This window comes from Homo sapiens, chromosome 2, assembly GCF_000001405.40.
Source record: "Homo sapiens chromosome 2, GRCh38.p14 Primary Assembly".
NCBI lineage: Eukaryota > Metazoa > Chordata > Mammalia > Primates > Hominidae > Homo > Homo sapiens.
This window is the reverse complement of record NC_000002.12, coordinates 217,798,813-217,812,881: the sequence shown is the minus strand read 5'-3', so window position 1 is coordinate 217,812,881 and position 14,069 is coordinate 217,798,813. Positions and strand designations below refer to the sequence as shown.

The following is a 14,069-nucleotide window of genomic DNA, read 5'->3' as shown; positions in this document are numbered from 1 at the left end:
CTGTTTGGTAGGGGTCATCCTCCCTAATAGGGAGGAATTGACACATGAAAAAACGAGAGTCATCAAAGTTACATTTACCTGAGAACCAACAGGTGAGAAGTGACTGAGCTGGGATTGGATCCCACAATTCTCTGATCCTTCTGCCCTGTTCTCAGAGGAGCCCCAGTAACTGGGGTGCATTAGGAGCGATGTTAGGAGGAACTTTCTGCAAAGGAAAGTTGTTAGGTAACTTTATGACTGCGAGAGTGAACCTTGGGAATCTTCTCTGTTGGATCTTGTTCAACAAGAGGGTGTGAATTTTCAGCTTTGGTGGTGGGTTGAGGTAGAGGTAATAAAGAAGTGGAAGATTGTGTGTATCGGTGTAAGGGTAGAGGTGGAGGTTTCCCTTCTGGCTTCCAGTATCACTGCCCATGACATGCCGTCTGCCTCCCTACAGGATCGCTGTCTGCCCTGGTCTACCAGCACTCCATCATCCCATTGGCCCTGCCTTGCAAGCTGGTCATTCCAAACCGAGGTAGGAACGTGAGACTCCTGGCTCACCACCCACACCCTTGAGCTGGCCCTTGTCATGTCTTGATCCTGCCAGCCACTCCGGACATGGGCCAGGGCTGGAGGACACATGTCATTTTGCCAGTCTGGAGAAACTCAAAACTACTCTCCTTTTCTTCCTATTAAAAAAGAAGAAAAAATTTATGAAAAAGCTTGACTCCAGGAGCATACATAAATGGACTTGCCAGATTGTTCAGGAAAACTCTCCGTATGAAGAAATTCATATGGAATCCTCAGACCACGTCGTCCCAGGGATGACAGGAGACAGAAGTAGGGGACAGGAGACATGTCCTGGAGGATGAGATGGGCATCTGGGGAAGAGAGTGGGGAGGCAGACTGAGGTGTTGAGGGGTTGGTCTGGATGGAGAGGAGAGAGCAGCCTCAGGAAAGAGAAGGCGGTGCCTAAATGTCGCCAGACTTTCTAATCTGTGTGCTGGGAGGGTGTTCCCTGACTAAGGGGATGCTGAGCTGTTAGGGAAGAGCAAGTCCTGTTTTGATTGTGGGAAGTTGGAATGGACTCCAAGAGCATGAGGACATGCAGGATGAGAATTTGAGTGAGACGGCAGGGCTAGGGAAGGAGTGTTTAGCTTCTCTCATGGAGGCGCATCAGCCCTGGAGCGTGGCAGGTGGGCACCTAGAACTCCTCCCAGCATAGGCCTCTACTGCCCAGCCCTCAGCAACACAGGGCCCACCTGAGGGTCACTGGCCTCACCCGCAGTGCAAGGTCTCGGAACGGTCTGGGCTGCCTTCTCCCCACTCTGTCTGTTCAACAATAGGACCTTCAGAAGCGCTCCTAGGCTGTGGCCCTAGGATTTTTTTCTAGTCTTTCTTGGAGCTCCTGGGGCTATGCCCACACATAACACCGCCAGTATTTTTGGACAATTTCTACTTATCCAATTCAGTTCATTGAATTATTAATGGTAATGGACCAATATTATTAGCTTATAAGTTCAAATACAACTTAAATAGCACTATTAACCAATGACACAATTCAGACATGAATTGAATTATATTCCTATGGAATTCACCATTGTAGTTCAGCAATTAAAAAACTGTTTAATATTTAGATTGTATAAACCTGTTGTTTTCAAAGTATGGGCCTAGACCGGCAGTGTCAGCATATCCCAGGGACTTGTTAAAAAATGCAAATATTGGCTGGGCATGGTGGTTCATGCCTATAATTTCAGAATTTTGGGAGGCTGAGGTGGAAGGATTGCTCGAAGTGAGGCATTCAAGACCAGCCTGTAGAATATCAGAAGACCCTGTTTTTACAAAACAGTAAAAAAATTATCCAGGCATGGTGGCTCATGCCTGTAGTCCCAGCTACGCTGGAGGCTAATGTGGGATAATCTGCTAGAGCATGGGAGTTTGAGGCTGCAGTGAGCTGTGATCATGCCACTGCACTCCAGCCTGGGTGACAGAGCAGGATTCTGTTTCAAAAAAAAAAAAAAAATTATGTACCATGTACAATGTGATGTTTTGATAAATGCATACATTGTGGGTTACATCAATATGCTAATATATCCATCACTCAATTCTTATTAATATTGAAATTAGAGTTATGCTGGATCAATGGTTTAATGAATTAGGGGAATTAGGGGATTTATTGACCTACACAAAGATATATCAATGCAAAACAATAACAGCAATGCCAATTGTCACTTGAAGGCTTGCTTTATGTTAAGCACTGGCTAAGCTGTACATGGAGTCGCTCAAAAACCCAGTGACGTGGGTACCATGATCATCGTCTTTGTTTTATAGATACTTAGTAAGTGCTGGGGTGAGGGTTTGAGCCCAGTTCTGCTGGACTCCAGAGCTCACAACCAGTGTGCTGGCTGCTTAGAGCAATCATCAAACGTTCAGACTGAGCCTAACTCAGGGCTGACTGCCAGGGTCTGGTATGAAAAGCAGCGTTCCTTCTGCCAAAGAGTTGCAGAGCTCACCTTCAGCCCAGCCAAACTTGTGCTTCTTTCCAGCTCTAGGGTTTTAATTCCTACTGAATTTTTGTCTTAGACCCCACAGATGAATCGAAAGATAGCTCCGGCCCTGCCAACTCAACTGCAGACCTGCTGAAACAAGGGGCAGGTGAGTGGTCACCTGAAACTGTACCCATGCCCAGGCCTCTCTTTCTGCCTTCCTGCCCTGACCCCTCCTGCACGTGCAGGCTGGAGGTCTCTCCAGGCCCAAATGTCTCTGGGAAGATCACATTTCTATGTGCAGATGCCTTGGCTCAAGGCTAGCCTGAAATTTATCTGCTACCTTCTCCCTGAAGAATGGATCTGGGTTAATGTCCTCACCCACGCCAGCTCCCATGACTCCCCCTTGGGTTGGTTTCTTCCAGCCTGCAATGTGCTCTTCGTCAACTCTGTGGACATGGAGTCACTCACTGGGCCACAGGCCATCTCTAAAGCCACATCTGAGACGTTGGCTGCAGACCCCACGCCAGCTGCCACCATCGTTCACTTCAAAGTCTCTGCCCAGGGAATCACTCTGACTGACAACCAGAGAAAGTAAGACTCCCCTGCCTGCTCCTCGGTGGGGTTCTCCTTCCTGTGACTCATCTATTCATCCGTGTACCCACACATTTACCACTTGATTGATTCCTTGCACCCAACTGCTCATCTACCTTCTCATCCATCTATCTTGCATCTACCTCCCATCTACCCAGCTACTTATCCATCCATCCATCCATGCACCCATCCATGCACCCATCCATGCACCCATCCATCCATCCATCCATCCATCCATGCACCTATCCATCCATCCATCCATCCATCCATCCATCCATCCATGCATCCATCCATGCACCTATCCATCCATCCATCCATGCATCCATCCATGCATCCATCCATCCATCCATCCATCCATCCATGCATCCATCCATCCATCCATCCATCCATCCATCCATCCATCCATGCATCCATCCATCCATCCATCCATCCATCCATCCATCCATGCATCCATCCATCCATCCATCCATCCATGCATCCATCCATCCATCCATCCATCCATCCATGCATCCATCCATGCACCTATCCATCCATCCATCCATGCATCCATCCATCCATCCATCCATCCATGCATCCATCCATCCATCCATCCATCCATCCATCCATGCATCCATCCATCCATCCATCCATCCATCCATCCATGCCTCCATCCCTGCATTTATTCATCCCTCATCTATCCCTTACCACCCGTTTTTCCCTTCATCCATCTGTATCTCCATTCATCTATCCATCCACCCATTCATCCATCCTTCTATGAGAATTTGCCAGCATTGGGTATACGGCTGTAAATACAACTGATAAAAAGGACCTGCTTTCTAGGAGCAGAGCCCGTCCACTTGGACTCTCTCCTAACAGTGTCCCTGGCCTCTTTGCTTCTTCTTCCAGCCCCTCCCCACATTTCCTATTCCTCAGTGCCAGTTTCTTCCTTCCCCAGCCCCTAGCATTTGGGATGATTCTATGGCACATCTGTCTCTGTACATTGCTTGGGTCACCAGTGTCAACAGCTCAGGCCATCTTGCTCATAAGAGAGAAGTTGTGTGGACCTGCGATAGCCACAGATGGTGGAAAGGTGGCCTGACCTGCTGGTGGAAGGAGGGGAAAAGCAGCCCCTTCAGCACTCATTCTCTGTTTATCTGATGTCTGTGCTGCAGGCTCTTTTTCAGACGCCACTACCCTCTCAACACTGTCACCTTCTGTGACCTGGATCCACAGGAAAGAAAGTAAGTCTCTTGTACACAGCTTCTCTCCCACACAGCTTTCTAACACTGACGTCTGTGTGGGTGCATGCATGTGCATGTGTGTGTGTGTGTGTGTGCATGTGCATACATTCTCCATTCAGCTGGAAGGTCTGCCCATGTGTGAGTAATCGTGTTGGGCATCTTTTGAGTCTTTCCCACTATAGATATGGAGACCCTCCCAGGGACTCAGTGCCCACTGCTACCCCCTCTGCCATGCCCTGACCTTGAATCTGCTTCTCCTCTCCATGATGGGGAGAGCCCCTCAGGAGGCAGGCTGCAGTGTTCTCTCGACCTTGAATGCATCTGTGTGATCTTGGGCAGCTCCTGTCCCTGGGGAATGGGGGAATGGGGGAATGAGGGGGGAATGGGGGGCAGCTCCTCTCCCCAGACCTTCCTGCAGAGGGTCTGGGCATGGGTGGGGCTGGGCTCTAGGGAGAAAGTACGATGATTTACCCTGAGCCCACTTTCTCTCCACAGGTGGATGAAAACAGAGGGTGGTGCCCCTGCTAAGTAAGTGTGACTTCTTACCCCTGCCCAGCAGGCTGGCCTTTGTACTTCACAGTGAGGGAAGCACGGGGCACATTTAGAAACCAGGGCTGGGGGTAGGGAAAGAGCAGCAAAAACCTTTGTGCCAAGGTCACTCAGCTTCCGAGTGAAGCTTGACCAGGCTTCCAGGCCTTTTGCCTTGTCCTGCCTCGAGGCCAGAGGCCCAGCGTCTGGTCCAGCTGCCTTCACTCTCCCAGGGTTAGAAGCAGCAGGGATGGCAGGAAGTGGACAGAAAACAGTCTTATTAGAAGCAATGGAAATGGGTCAGAGATTGCTTACATGATCTTTTCTGCCCCAATTCTAGCTGCCTTTATTTCTGCTCTTGCTTTTTTGGTGGGCTTTCCTGTGAGTCTTGTGGCCGAGCAAATCAGCCTTATCAGAATGTGGGAGCCCAGAAAGTCTGAATTCTGGGGATGGCCCTGGGACCTTCGGGTGGATTCCTCCATCCAGCAGACATGTCCTAGGGGCCTCCAAGGGACTCAGATCCTGCCTGGGTCTCTGACCCTGCCCTCAGGAGGCCCATTGGCACAGCAGATAAGACAGATGTCTAAATAGCACTAAGATGCTTCTGTGATTTTCAAACTGTATTCCAAGGATCCTAGCATCCTTGGATTGTACCTGATGTACAGAAGAGAGGGAAAGCTCTGCTGCTCCTTGCAGTTGTCTATCAGCAGTAACTAGGGTTTTTTCACAATCACAAAACCAAACAAAATATAGGCATAACCTGGGGTCTGAAGCTGACATGAGACTATCACCATGATCTGTCATCTACTTTTCACTTTGTCAGGATTATTCCAACAGCCCTATTATCCTCACTGATTGACTTTATAATAGGTAAATGTCGTGCTTTTGGATTGCTGTTTATAGCTGTAAAATACTGCTTTCACCTTTATATATGCAGACTTCATATAAGGTTGCTTTAGAAAAACAAAACGTTCAGTGTTAAAAAAATGACAGTTGCAAGGGAGGGAGAGGCAGCAAGAGAGTTCAGCTTACGTCTGGGGAGCTCATGCAGGAGAACACATCAGCACCTCAGAGAGGTGGAAAGAGCAGATATTTAAGGACGGGTCTTCAAAGACAGGTTCAATTTGGACAGGTCAAAATGAGAATGGGAGTAGGAGGGGCTATTTCAGGGGAGGGGCCTCATGGCCACCAGCCTGCAAGCTCCCCAAGGGAAGGGCCATGTCTGACACATGGGGAGGTGGTATATATTTGTTGAGTGAAGAAATGAGAGAATGGAGGCTGGAAGAGCAGAGGCAGGAGGAGGCTAGTGAGAATGCCTCAGTCCGAATGAATGGACTGACTAGTCTATCACATGGTCAGTGATGGTAGCTTAGGAGAGGCCATGTGGGATGGTGGGGTTCAGCCTTGTCCAGGCTTCATAGGGTCATCAGTGCTTTGAGTTCCTGCATTTCCCGTGTCTCTGCTGGCCAAGGCAGCAGGCTGGAACTTCCTGTTTGAAGGGGCTTGTGCTCACTCACCACAGGGCCCTGCGAGGGAAGAAGGTCAGGGACAGAAGGGAACTGGGCCCCCAAGCCTGGAAATCCCTCTTTTCCTCCTTCAGGAGCTGGTTTTGAGTTGAGCCTCCTGCTGAAGAAGCTTTGATGGGTGGGGCAGAGGCCACAGGGAGAGGCCAAGCAGGGCAGTGGGCTAACAGGGAATCATGACAGGGACGAGGTGAGGCCAGCCAGGGATCTCATGTGCAAAATTCAAGGAGATGTTAGATCTTGGGATCTTGCAAGCGCTTCCTCCTGCCCTTGCGGGCTGAGGCTTCTTGCCTGGATCTATTCCTTGTGGCAGATGACAGGACTGGGCTATTGCGGGAGCCTGGAAGCCACAGCTGAAAGAAATATCAGGGGAGGGCAGGCTCGGTGCTCCAGTCAGGTGCAGTTGCCGGGTCTCCATCCTGGTAGACACCCGCAGCCAGGGCTGGCATGCTTCCTCCCTCTGCCAGGATCACCCCCACCCCTGCTCATGGTCTGAGCCAGCTGGGAAAGGGAGGTGCTGGGGGATGCCCTGTGGACCCCAGCTCCCCCACCACCTGGGCATTACCCCAGGCCTTTGGCCCTGTTGCTCCTGGCCCCTGAAACAAGACTGGAGGAGCAGAGCTGTAGGAAATGCTGGATTATGTGTGTGTGTGTGTGTGTGTGTGTGGTGTGTGTATATGTTGTGTTTGCGTGTTGTGTGTGGTGTGTATATGTTGTGTATGTGTGTGGTCTGTATATGTATGTATGCATGGTTTGTGTGTGTGTGGTGTATGTGTGTGTGGTGGTGTGTGGTGTGTATGTGTGGTGGTATGTGTGGTGTGTGCAGTGGTGTGTGTGTGGTGTATGCATGTGGTGATGTGTGTGATGGTGTGTATGTGTGTGGTGATATGTGTGTTGTGTGTGTGTGATGTGTGTGGGTGTGATGGTGTGTATGTGTGTGGTGTGTGTGGTGTGTGGTGGTGTGTGTTGTGTGTGTGGTGTGTGTGGTGGTGTGTGTGGTGTGTGGTGGTGTGTGTGGTGTGTGTGGTGTGTGTGGTGTGTGTGGTGGTGTGTGTGGTGTGTGTGTGGTGTGTGTGGTGTGTGTGGTGGTGTGTGTGATGGTGTGTATGTGTGTGGTGCATGTGTGTGGTGGTTTGTACACACAGGCACACAGGGACCAGCAGAATCCCCCTTTGCTAACTTCAGCTGCCGTGGTCCTGCGGTAGGGAGAGGGGTTTTCATAGGAATCTCCAGCTGTCCTCATTTCCCCATCTCGCTCTAATTAGCAACATGCTGGCTGGGAGGGGACCTGAGCTCACATTCTGTTCTCTGCCCTCATATTTTTAACTCTGTTTTGCGAAGAGAATGCTGGGTCACTCCAGTCCTGCGGGTGGGGGTGGGGAACGGGTGTGGGGTCCACCTTCCCTTTTATTTTCTGGCTTCCAAGGTTCTTGAGCCCAGGAAGAATAAGTGTGTGTGTGTGGAGGGGTGTGAGCTACTTGACCTTTGTCTCCCTGACCTTGTGGTGTCTGAGGAGGCTGAGCCGTTTGCAGGCAGACAGCACTTTCCTGATTGGCATATGTGTTGTGTGTAAGAACAGTCAGTAGGGGTAGGGCTGGGATGGGCGGGGAGAGGCCTGTCTAGGAATGTTCCCATTTTATTTTGGTCTCCTCCCCACCCCTCACTATCCAGCCTTGTCAATCCTCTGCAGCTCCCCTCGCACCCCTTCAAAGGGGATTTCTGCCCACCCTTAAACAAGGTGGGACACTGTCTCTAGGACTTGGCTTGTGGTCAGGGGAGTGCACAGAGGATTCTCTTCTGCACCTCTCTGAGTCCCTGATGCTGAGGCCTGCTGGAGGGATGGGGAAGAGAGGTTGGCCTGAGACCAGCTTGCTCACCTGGGCTGCTGTCCACCTCCTGGGGTTCCACTTGCCCTTCCCTCATGCCCGTTGCCCTCTCCCGCCTGCAGGCTCTTCGGCTTCGTGGCCCGGAAGCAGGGCAGCACCACGGACAACGCCTGCCACCTCTTTGCTGAGCTTGACCCCAACCAGCCGGCCTCTGCCATCGTCAACTTCGTCTCCAAGGTCATGCTGAATGCCGGCCAAAAGAGATGAACCCTGCCCCTTGCCCAGGGCCAGTGCCATGGGGAAGGGGCTTGTGGGGAGGGGACCCATGAATCCTGACCACTCTTGAACCCAGAAGGAGGACTTTGGGCCAATTTCGGAGGAGAGAAGAAAGTGCAACGTGGGGAGAGGGAAGTGAATTGCAGAGGGGAGGGGGAAAAGAGAGAGAGAGAGAGAGAGAGAGAGAGAGAGAAAGATGGAGGAGAAGAACTTGGATTCCCCTGGGTAGATGGAAACTGCAAAAACCCAAAGCCTCCAAAACTAACCAGGTCCACCTAACACCCCCTCCCTCCCCTAAGAAGATGGATGTCCTCAAAAGAGAAGGAACAAACCTCCTTGGGAATCCACATTTTTTGGGGGAATGGAAAAGCTCTGTCTCCCTAACTCAACTGCTTTGCAAGGGGAAATCAAGCTGGGAGAATCTTTTTCTGGCCACCTGTGGGGTAGGTTGTCAAACCAAACAGAGCCACCGTGGGACATCAAGTGGAAGAACTTGTTTGCTTGAAAGTATCTCAGACCCAAGGCACCTCAGGTCTCTTTGCTGTGCCTCCACTATATTGTCGTGTGGGTGTGTGTCTGCACCCACATCCTCACACATTGATCTAGATCTGCCTTTATCCACTCGAATTATAAACAGCTCGGCTTGTCCTTGTCCCATGTGTTTGTAGACACACATGCATACTGTCCAAAGATTAGGGTTGGTGGTGGCAGTGCAGCAGGGGAGGGACAAACAACCAAGCTATGGGTGACAGAGGCTCTCTCCTGGTGCCTGCACCTGCACTCTAGTGACCCTGGGTGCCGCCAGACCCTTCTCTTCTACAAAGACCCCAGCAGGAGTGGGAGGGTCTGCAATGGCATCGCCCTGTCCTGCCTTGGCCAGAAGCCTGGAGCTTTGGTTTGAGGAGGTAGAGATATGTGTATCCATAGGAAGAGATCTGTCAGAACAGGCAGCTGTTGAGCTCGGGGTGTCTTCCCCAAGGCATGTGGCTCAGCAGCAAGAAAGGCAAGTTGCTCCTGCTGGGGCCCTGGACTCTGCCTTAGCTCCCACCTCTCAGCCTTGTTATTGGGTTTCATGCCCCTGGACCAGCCTTATCTCAGACCTGCTTACCTGCATGATGCCTTTTTGGGGGCTGGGGATTGAGTCTTGCTGCTCTGCCCAGCCCTGTTCTATTCTGCAGGGTCCCTGTGTTGGAATTCTCCCTGGGGAACCTACTTTCTGCTCAGTGAGGCTCCGGCCAGAAACCTGGAGTCCTTATCCTCCCCTCTGTAAGTGTTTTAGGGTCTGGCTTTTGCAGGCACCCTCTGACCTCAGCAGAGCTCCTGGGCCTGCTGCCTGCACACCACATCGCCTACCTACAATGCCAAAGCCTCACTGTCACCCTTTCTGCCTTGGTTTCCCTAGCTGAGCCACGCTGCCCATGCAGCAGAGGGCAGAAGGCTTGCACTTGGGCCAAAGGGCCTAAGGTCCACTGGACAGTTGGGAAAACACCTGACCACCATTTAAGGACTCTAAGCCAGAATGGAAAATTCACCAGGACTCCATTCTTAAGCCTATGCGAGTCCCCTAGAGAGAGGCATTGTACTGATATATAAATATTATATAATATATACATGAGACATACTGACAGAATCTGTAAGCTAATAAAATGTAAGAAAAGGTTAAAAAAAGAATAGGTAAATTGACAAGAAGTATTTATTGTTTTTCCATATTGCTTTATTGCCTTCCTTGGGGATAAACCAATTCCTATCCTTTTTTATATGTGTAAGTAAAGCCTGAAGTGTAGGGGGCCTTTGTTCTTGAAGCAGCCAGGGTCTCCTTGCCCTGGCCTTGGCCTTCCCTAGACTGTGTGGGGCTCAGCATTGGGAGGGGTTGCACATGTCCCAGCCTTTGGCCCCCTTACTTTTCAGCAAGCCAGGGGCCCAGCAGTCAGCTCCCAGGATGTGTGGGGAGCTGTCCCTGACTCTGCAGGCCTGAGCGAGTGTGTGAGCATGCGGGGACATGGGTGTGTATGGCACACATAGGTGCGTGTGTGTCTTTTGTATTTTTTCTCCTCCAAGGAGCTGTGTCAGTGTGGACGTTCTGTTTCAGGGAGTTGGAAAGGAGGGTGTCTGCAGAAGGTGGAGAGCAGGGGCAGAGGCCCCACTGGCCACCCCCTGCTTCCCAGAGTGAAACCTTGTGCCTGGTGACCAAAGTCCCTCCAAAGTGCTCTTCCTTCTGGGTTATTCAAGCCAAATATCTGGGTTTCCCCCTCTCCTCATTCCCTAGCAAACCCCAATTATCTTCCAAGATAGGAGATATTTCCCATCCCCTTCCTTTGTAAATATCTCATCTCCCACTGGAGAGCCCAGGAGCCTATTCCTGGCATGGATGTTCTGTCCACACTTGAGGCTGGGCGGTGTATCAGACCCTTCAAGCAGCCTGGCTGGGGCCCAGGACTGAGTCTGGGGTCAGCTTTCACGGTCGCTTTTCCCTTCCTCACCACCCACCACAGCCCACCTTGCATGCATGGCCAGCCCCTCCACTCCAGCCTGAGCCATGTGTGCCCCTGCGGGAGGACCCATTCATGCCAGAAAGCTGGTAACTCCCTCCCAGCATCCCTGCGGAAGGAGTCAGTTTCTGAGAGTGTGACTTTTCAAGGCGAATGATGGGGAAGGGTTCCCCAGTCCCCACAGTGGCCCCACCTCTGGGCCCTGCACCAGAGCCCTTCTGTGTCACGGCGGGCTGTGCACCCATGCACACACCTACGCACACACAACACTCCGCACTGCAGTATATTCTTGCCAAAGATTTCCTTTAAAAGCAAGCACTTTTACTAATTATTATTTTGTAAATGTTTATCTTCTTCTGTCTTCTCCCTCCCTGAATCTATTTTACTGTTGTTTATTGTTGAATCTGTGTGTCAGCCAGGAGAGCGCTGTCTGGCCTTGAACATGGGCTGGGATGGGAAAGGGTCTGGGAGAAGATGGGCAACAAAGAGCCAGGGAGTCATGGACATCGCAGCGACGCAGACCCCAGCAGGTTCAGTCCCGTGCTGCCACCAGCTGTCCAGCTGGGTGTCTGGAGGGAAGAGGGCAGAGGAGGGTCATGTCCCTTCAGCTGGGGGAGGGGCCCAGTGAGCTCCACGTGGCTTTTTCCCAAAGGGAGCAAGAGGGAAGGATTGGGCGAGAAAACAATGGAGAGGGGACCTGCGAAGGAAAACAGGGAGGAAGTGAGCGGTTTGATCAGCCTGCTATCACGGTGTTCTGGCTCTCTTATTTAGCCAGGCGCTTAAGGGACAGATACATCACATCCTAAGTTTGGGAAAGGCCTTTGACCCATGTCATCTGAGCGTCTCCTCCAGTAGCTCTGAAAGCTGTGGACACCAATGGCCAGGATTCCTTCTCCCCTGGTTTTTGAGGATCCCTGGGTCTTCTGAGACTGGCCAGGAGAGGGATGGTGGGGCCAGTGGTTGTGTGAAAGCAGGAGGGGCAGCCCTCCTGGACAAGTGTGATCCCCCTATAAACGGCTCTCAGGAGGTTAGTGAGTAGGAGATTCTGCCTTGTTCTGATGAGCCTGTGCAGGGGCTCCAGGGGAGCATGCTGTCCAGGGGGCACAGAAGGGTGGTGAGTGTGATCAAATCTAGTCTCACTCCCACTTTTTAGTCTCACTCCTACTTTTGTCCACCACCCCTGCCTCCTGGATCTTCTCCCACTTTTTTTTTCAGCTTTAGGACCTGGGGAGATCCTGTGAGTCAAGGCAGACACCCAATCCTGCCCCCACACTCGGGGTCCTCCAAGAGGTTGGGGGGCAGAGTCCCAGAGCAGCCCTTTACCCCAGGTCCAGGCCCTGGAATCCTGAGACTCGCGTTTCCTTGGCCAGTGGTAACACAGGACGTGTGTGCGCATGTGCAAGTGTGGATGTATGTGTGTGCGTGTGTTTTGCTCATTTCTTTAGGGAACTTGGGAGTCGGGGTTGGAGGTGCTGGGCAATGGAACTTCAAATTCAATGTCGCCCAGCAGTGAGGGGAGTCGGGAGGTGAGGCCTGTAGGCCAACCAATTGGTGGAGTCTCAGCGATAGCCCAGGTGAGAAGTGGTTCACCCAGAGGGGCAGGGTGGGGGCCTCGGGCAGATCTGTCCCTCTTGGCACCTCTGTCCTCAAATGTCCAAAATGTTGGAGGACCTCTGTTCATATCCCACGCCTGGGCTCTTGCCAGCAGTGGAGTTACTGTAGAGGGATGTCCCAAGCTTGTTTTCCAATCAGTGTTAAGCTGTTTGAAACTCTCCTGTGTCTGTGTTTTGTTTGTGCGTGTGTGTGAGAGCACATCAGTGTGTGCAGGCTGTGTTTCCCCATTTCTCTCCTCCCTTCAGACCCATCATTGAGAACAAATGTAAGAAATCCCTTCCCACCACCCTCCCTGCCTCCCAGGCCCTCTGCGGGGGAAACAAGATCACCCAGCATCCTTCCCCACCCCAGCTGTGTATTTATATAGATGGAAATATACTTTATATTTTGTATCATCGTGCCTATAGCCGCTGCCACCGTGTATAAATCCTGGTGTATGCTCCTTATCCTGGACATGAATGTATTGTACACTGACGCGTCCCCACTCCTGTACAGCTGCTTTGTTTCTTTGCAATGCATTGTATGGCTTTATAAATGATAAAGTTAAAGAAAACTCTGTGCCGTTATCTATCTGTGTTGTTCGGACAGGGGTCTGCCATGTCTCTGGTGGGCAAAAAGGGGCCTCTCCAGAGATCCAGGTGGGCTTCAGCGATGCCTCTAGTGGACAGCTCAAATCCTCCCAGCGGCCTCCCCACCATCTGCGTGGTGGTTCTGGTTCCCTGTGTTTATTCATTTGGACTCTTTCAGCTGCAAGAGAAACTCAACTCAAACTTGTTTAAGAAAAAGATAAGTTTCTTGGCCCGAGTGACTGAGAAGGCCAGGCCTAGCTGCATTTAAGGGCTCAAATGGTAGAATCTGGAATTCATCCCCATCACTTGGTTCTGAGTTGGCTTAACTTTCAGGTAAGCTGTATCTGAGTGGCGGTGCCCCCAGATGCTCTGGGCTTCCATCCCACCAGCTCGGTAGCTCTAGGAGAAAGGGGGGCTCTTTTCTCCCAATGTTCTCAGCAAGAAACTGGGACATGCGATCATTGGCTGTGATCTGGATCCTGCCTGGCTCATATGATTAACTCGAAACCAATCATTCTATCCGGATCTGGGTCACGCAACTGCCTCTGGAGCCTTCTGAAACTACGGGGACTGAGAATGGGGAAGTGGTTGATCCCGGAAGGAGTGAGGTCTGTCAGAGACAGGGGGAACACGGGTTGTCAGGCAACATCTATTGGGGCCTGTGCCCATCAAGTGGCAAATGTGTGGTTCACTCGTGCACTAGGCCCAGGGCTCCTGGGCAAATTCTTTGGAATTCAGAAAGTTTGGGGGTGGGACCTATTGAGACATGCCTAGCACAGCACAGGGGTCTCTGGGAGATCCAAAATACTCAGTGACGTGGTGCTAGCTCTCCACTGAGCTCACCATGTGGCTGGAGGAGGCTCAGATCAGCTTATTTGAGCAGGTTTGTGCTGAGCCCCCTCAGTGACCCTCACGGTCCTCGTGTGGGCAGCCTTCTCAAGCTTTTGGGTCTTGGGATTCCTTTA

At 51.5% G+C, this 14,069-nt stretch overlaps 1 protein-coding gene across 28 annotated transcripts in view, besides 2 other annotated features; it reads left to right on the top strand.

The window, feature by feature from the left end:
• TNS1 (tensin 1) overlaps positions 1–13,091 on the top strand; it is a 234,192-nt gene extending 221,101 nt beyond the window's left edge. For all 28 annotated transcript variants that reach the window (XM_047445637.1, NM_001438865.1, XM_047445639.1 and 25 more), the window contains 6 exons: positions 437–514; positions 2,563–2,634; positions 2,891–3,059; positions 4,211–4,279; positions 4,775–4,807; positions 8,279–13,091. In XM_047445637.1, coding sequence (XP_047301593.1) covers positions 437–514; positions 2,563–2,634; positions 2,891–3,059; positions 4,211–4,279; positions 4,775–4,807; positions 8,279–8,423 — 566 coding nt within the window. In that variant the 3' untranslated portion in view covers positions 8,424–13,091. The remainder of the gene's footprint in view (positions 1–436; positions 515–2,562; positions 2,635–2,890; positions 3,060–4,210; positions 4,280–4,774; positions 4,808–8,278) is intronic.
• Positions 13,523–13,572: an enhancer, noted in NCBI's record as "active region_17109". NCBI's record gives its function as "activates an Ori minimal core promoter by ATAC-STARR-seq in GM12878 lymphoblastoid cells {active_cell/tissue: GM12878}" and the evidence as "EXISTENCE:reporter gene assay evidence [ECO:0000049][PMID:35858748]".
• Positions 13,603–13,672: an enhancer, noted in NCBI's record as "active region_17108". NCBI's record gives its function as "activates an Ori minimal core promoter by ATAC-STARR-seq in GM12878 lymphoblastoid cells {active_cell/tissue: GM12878}" and the evidence as "EXISTENCE:reporter gene assay evidence [ECO:0000049][PMID:35858748]".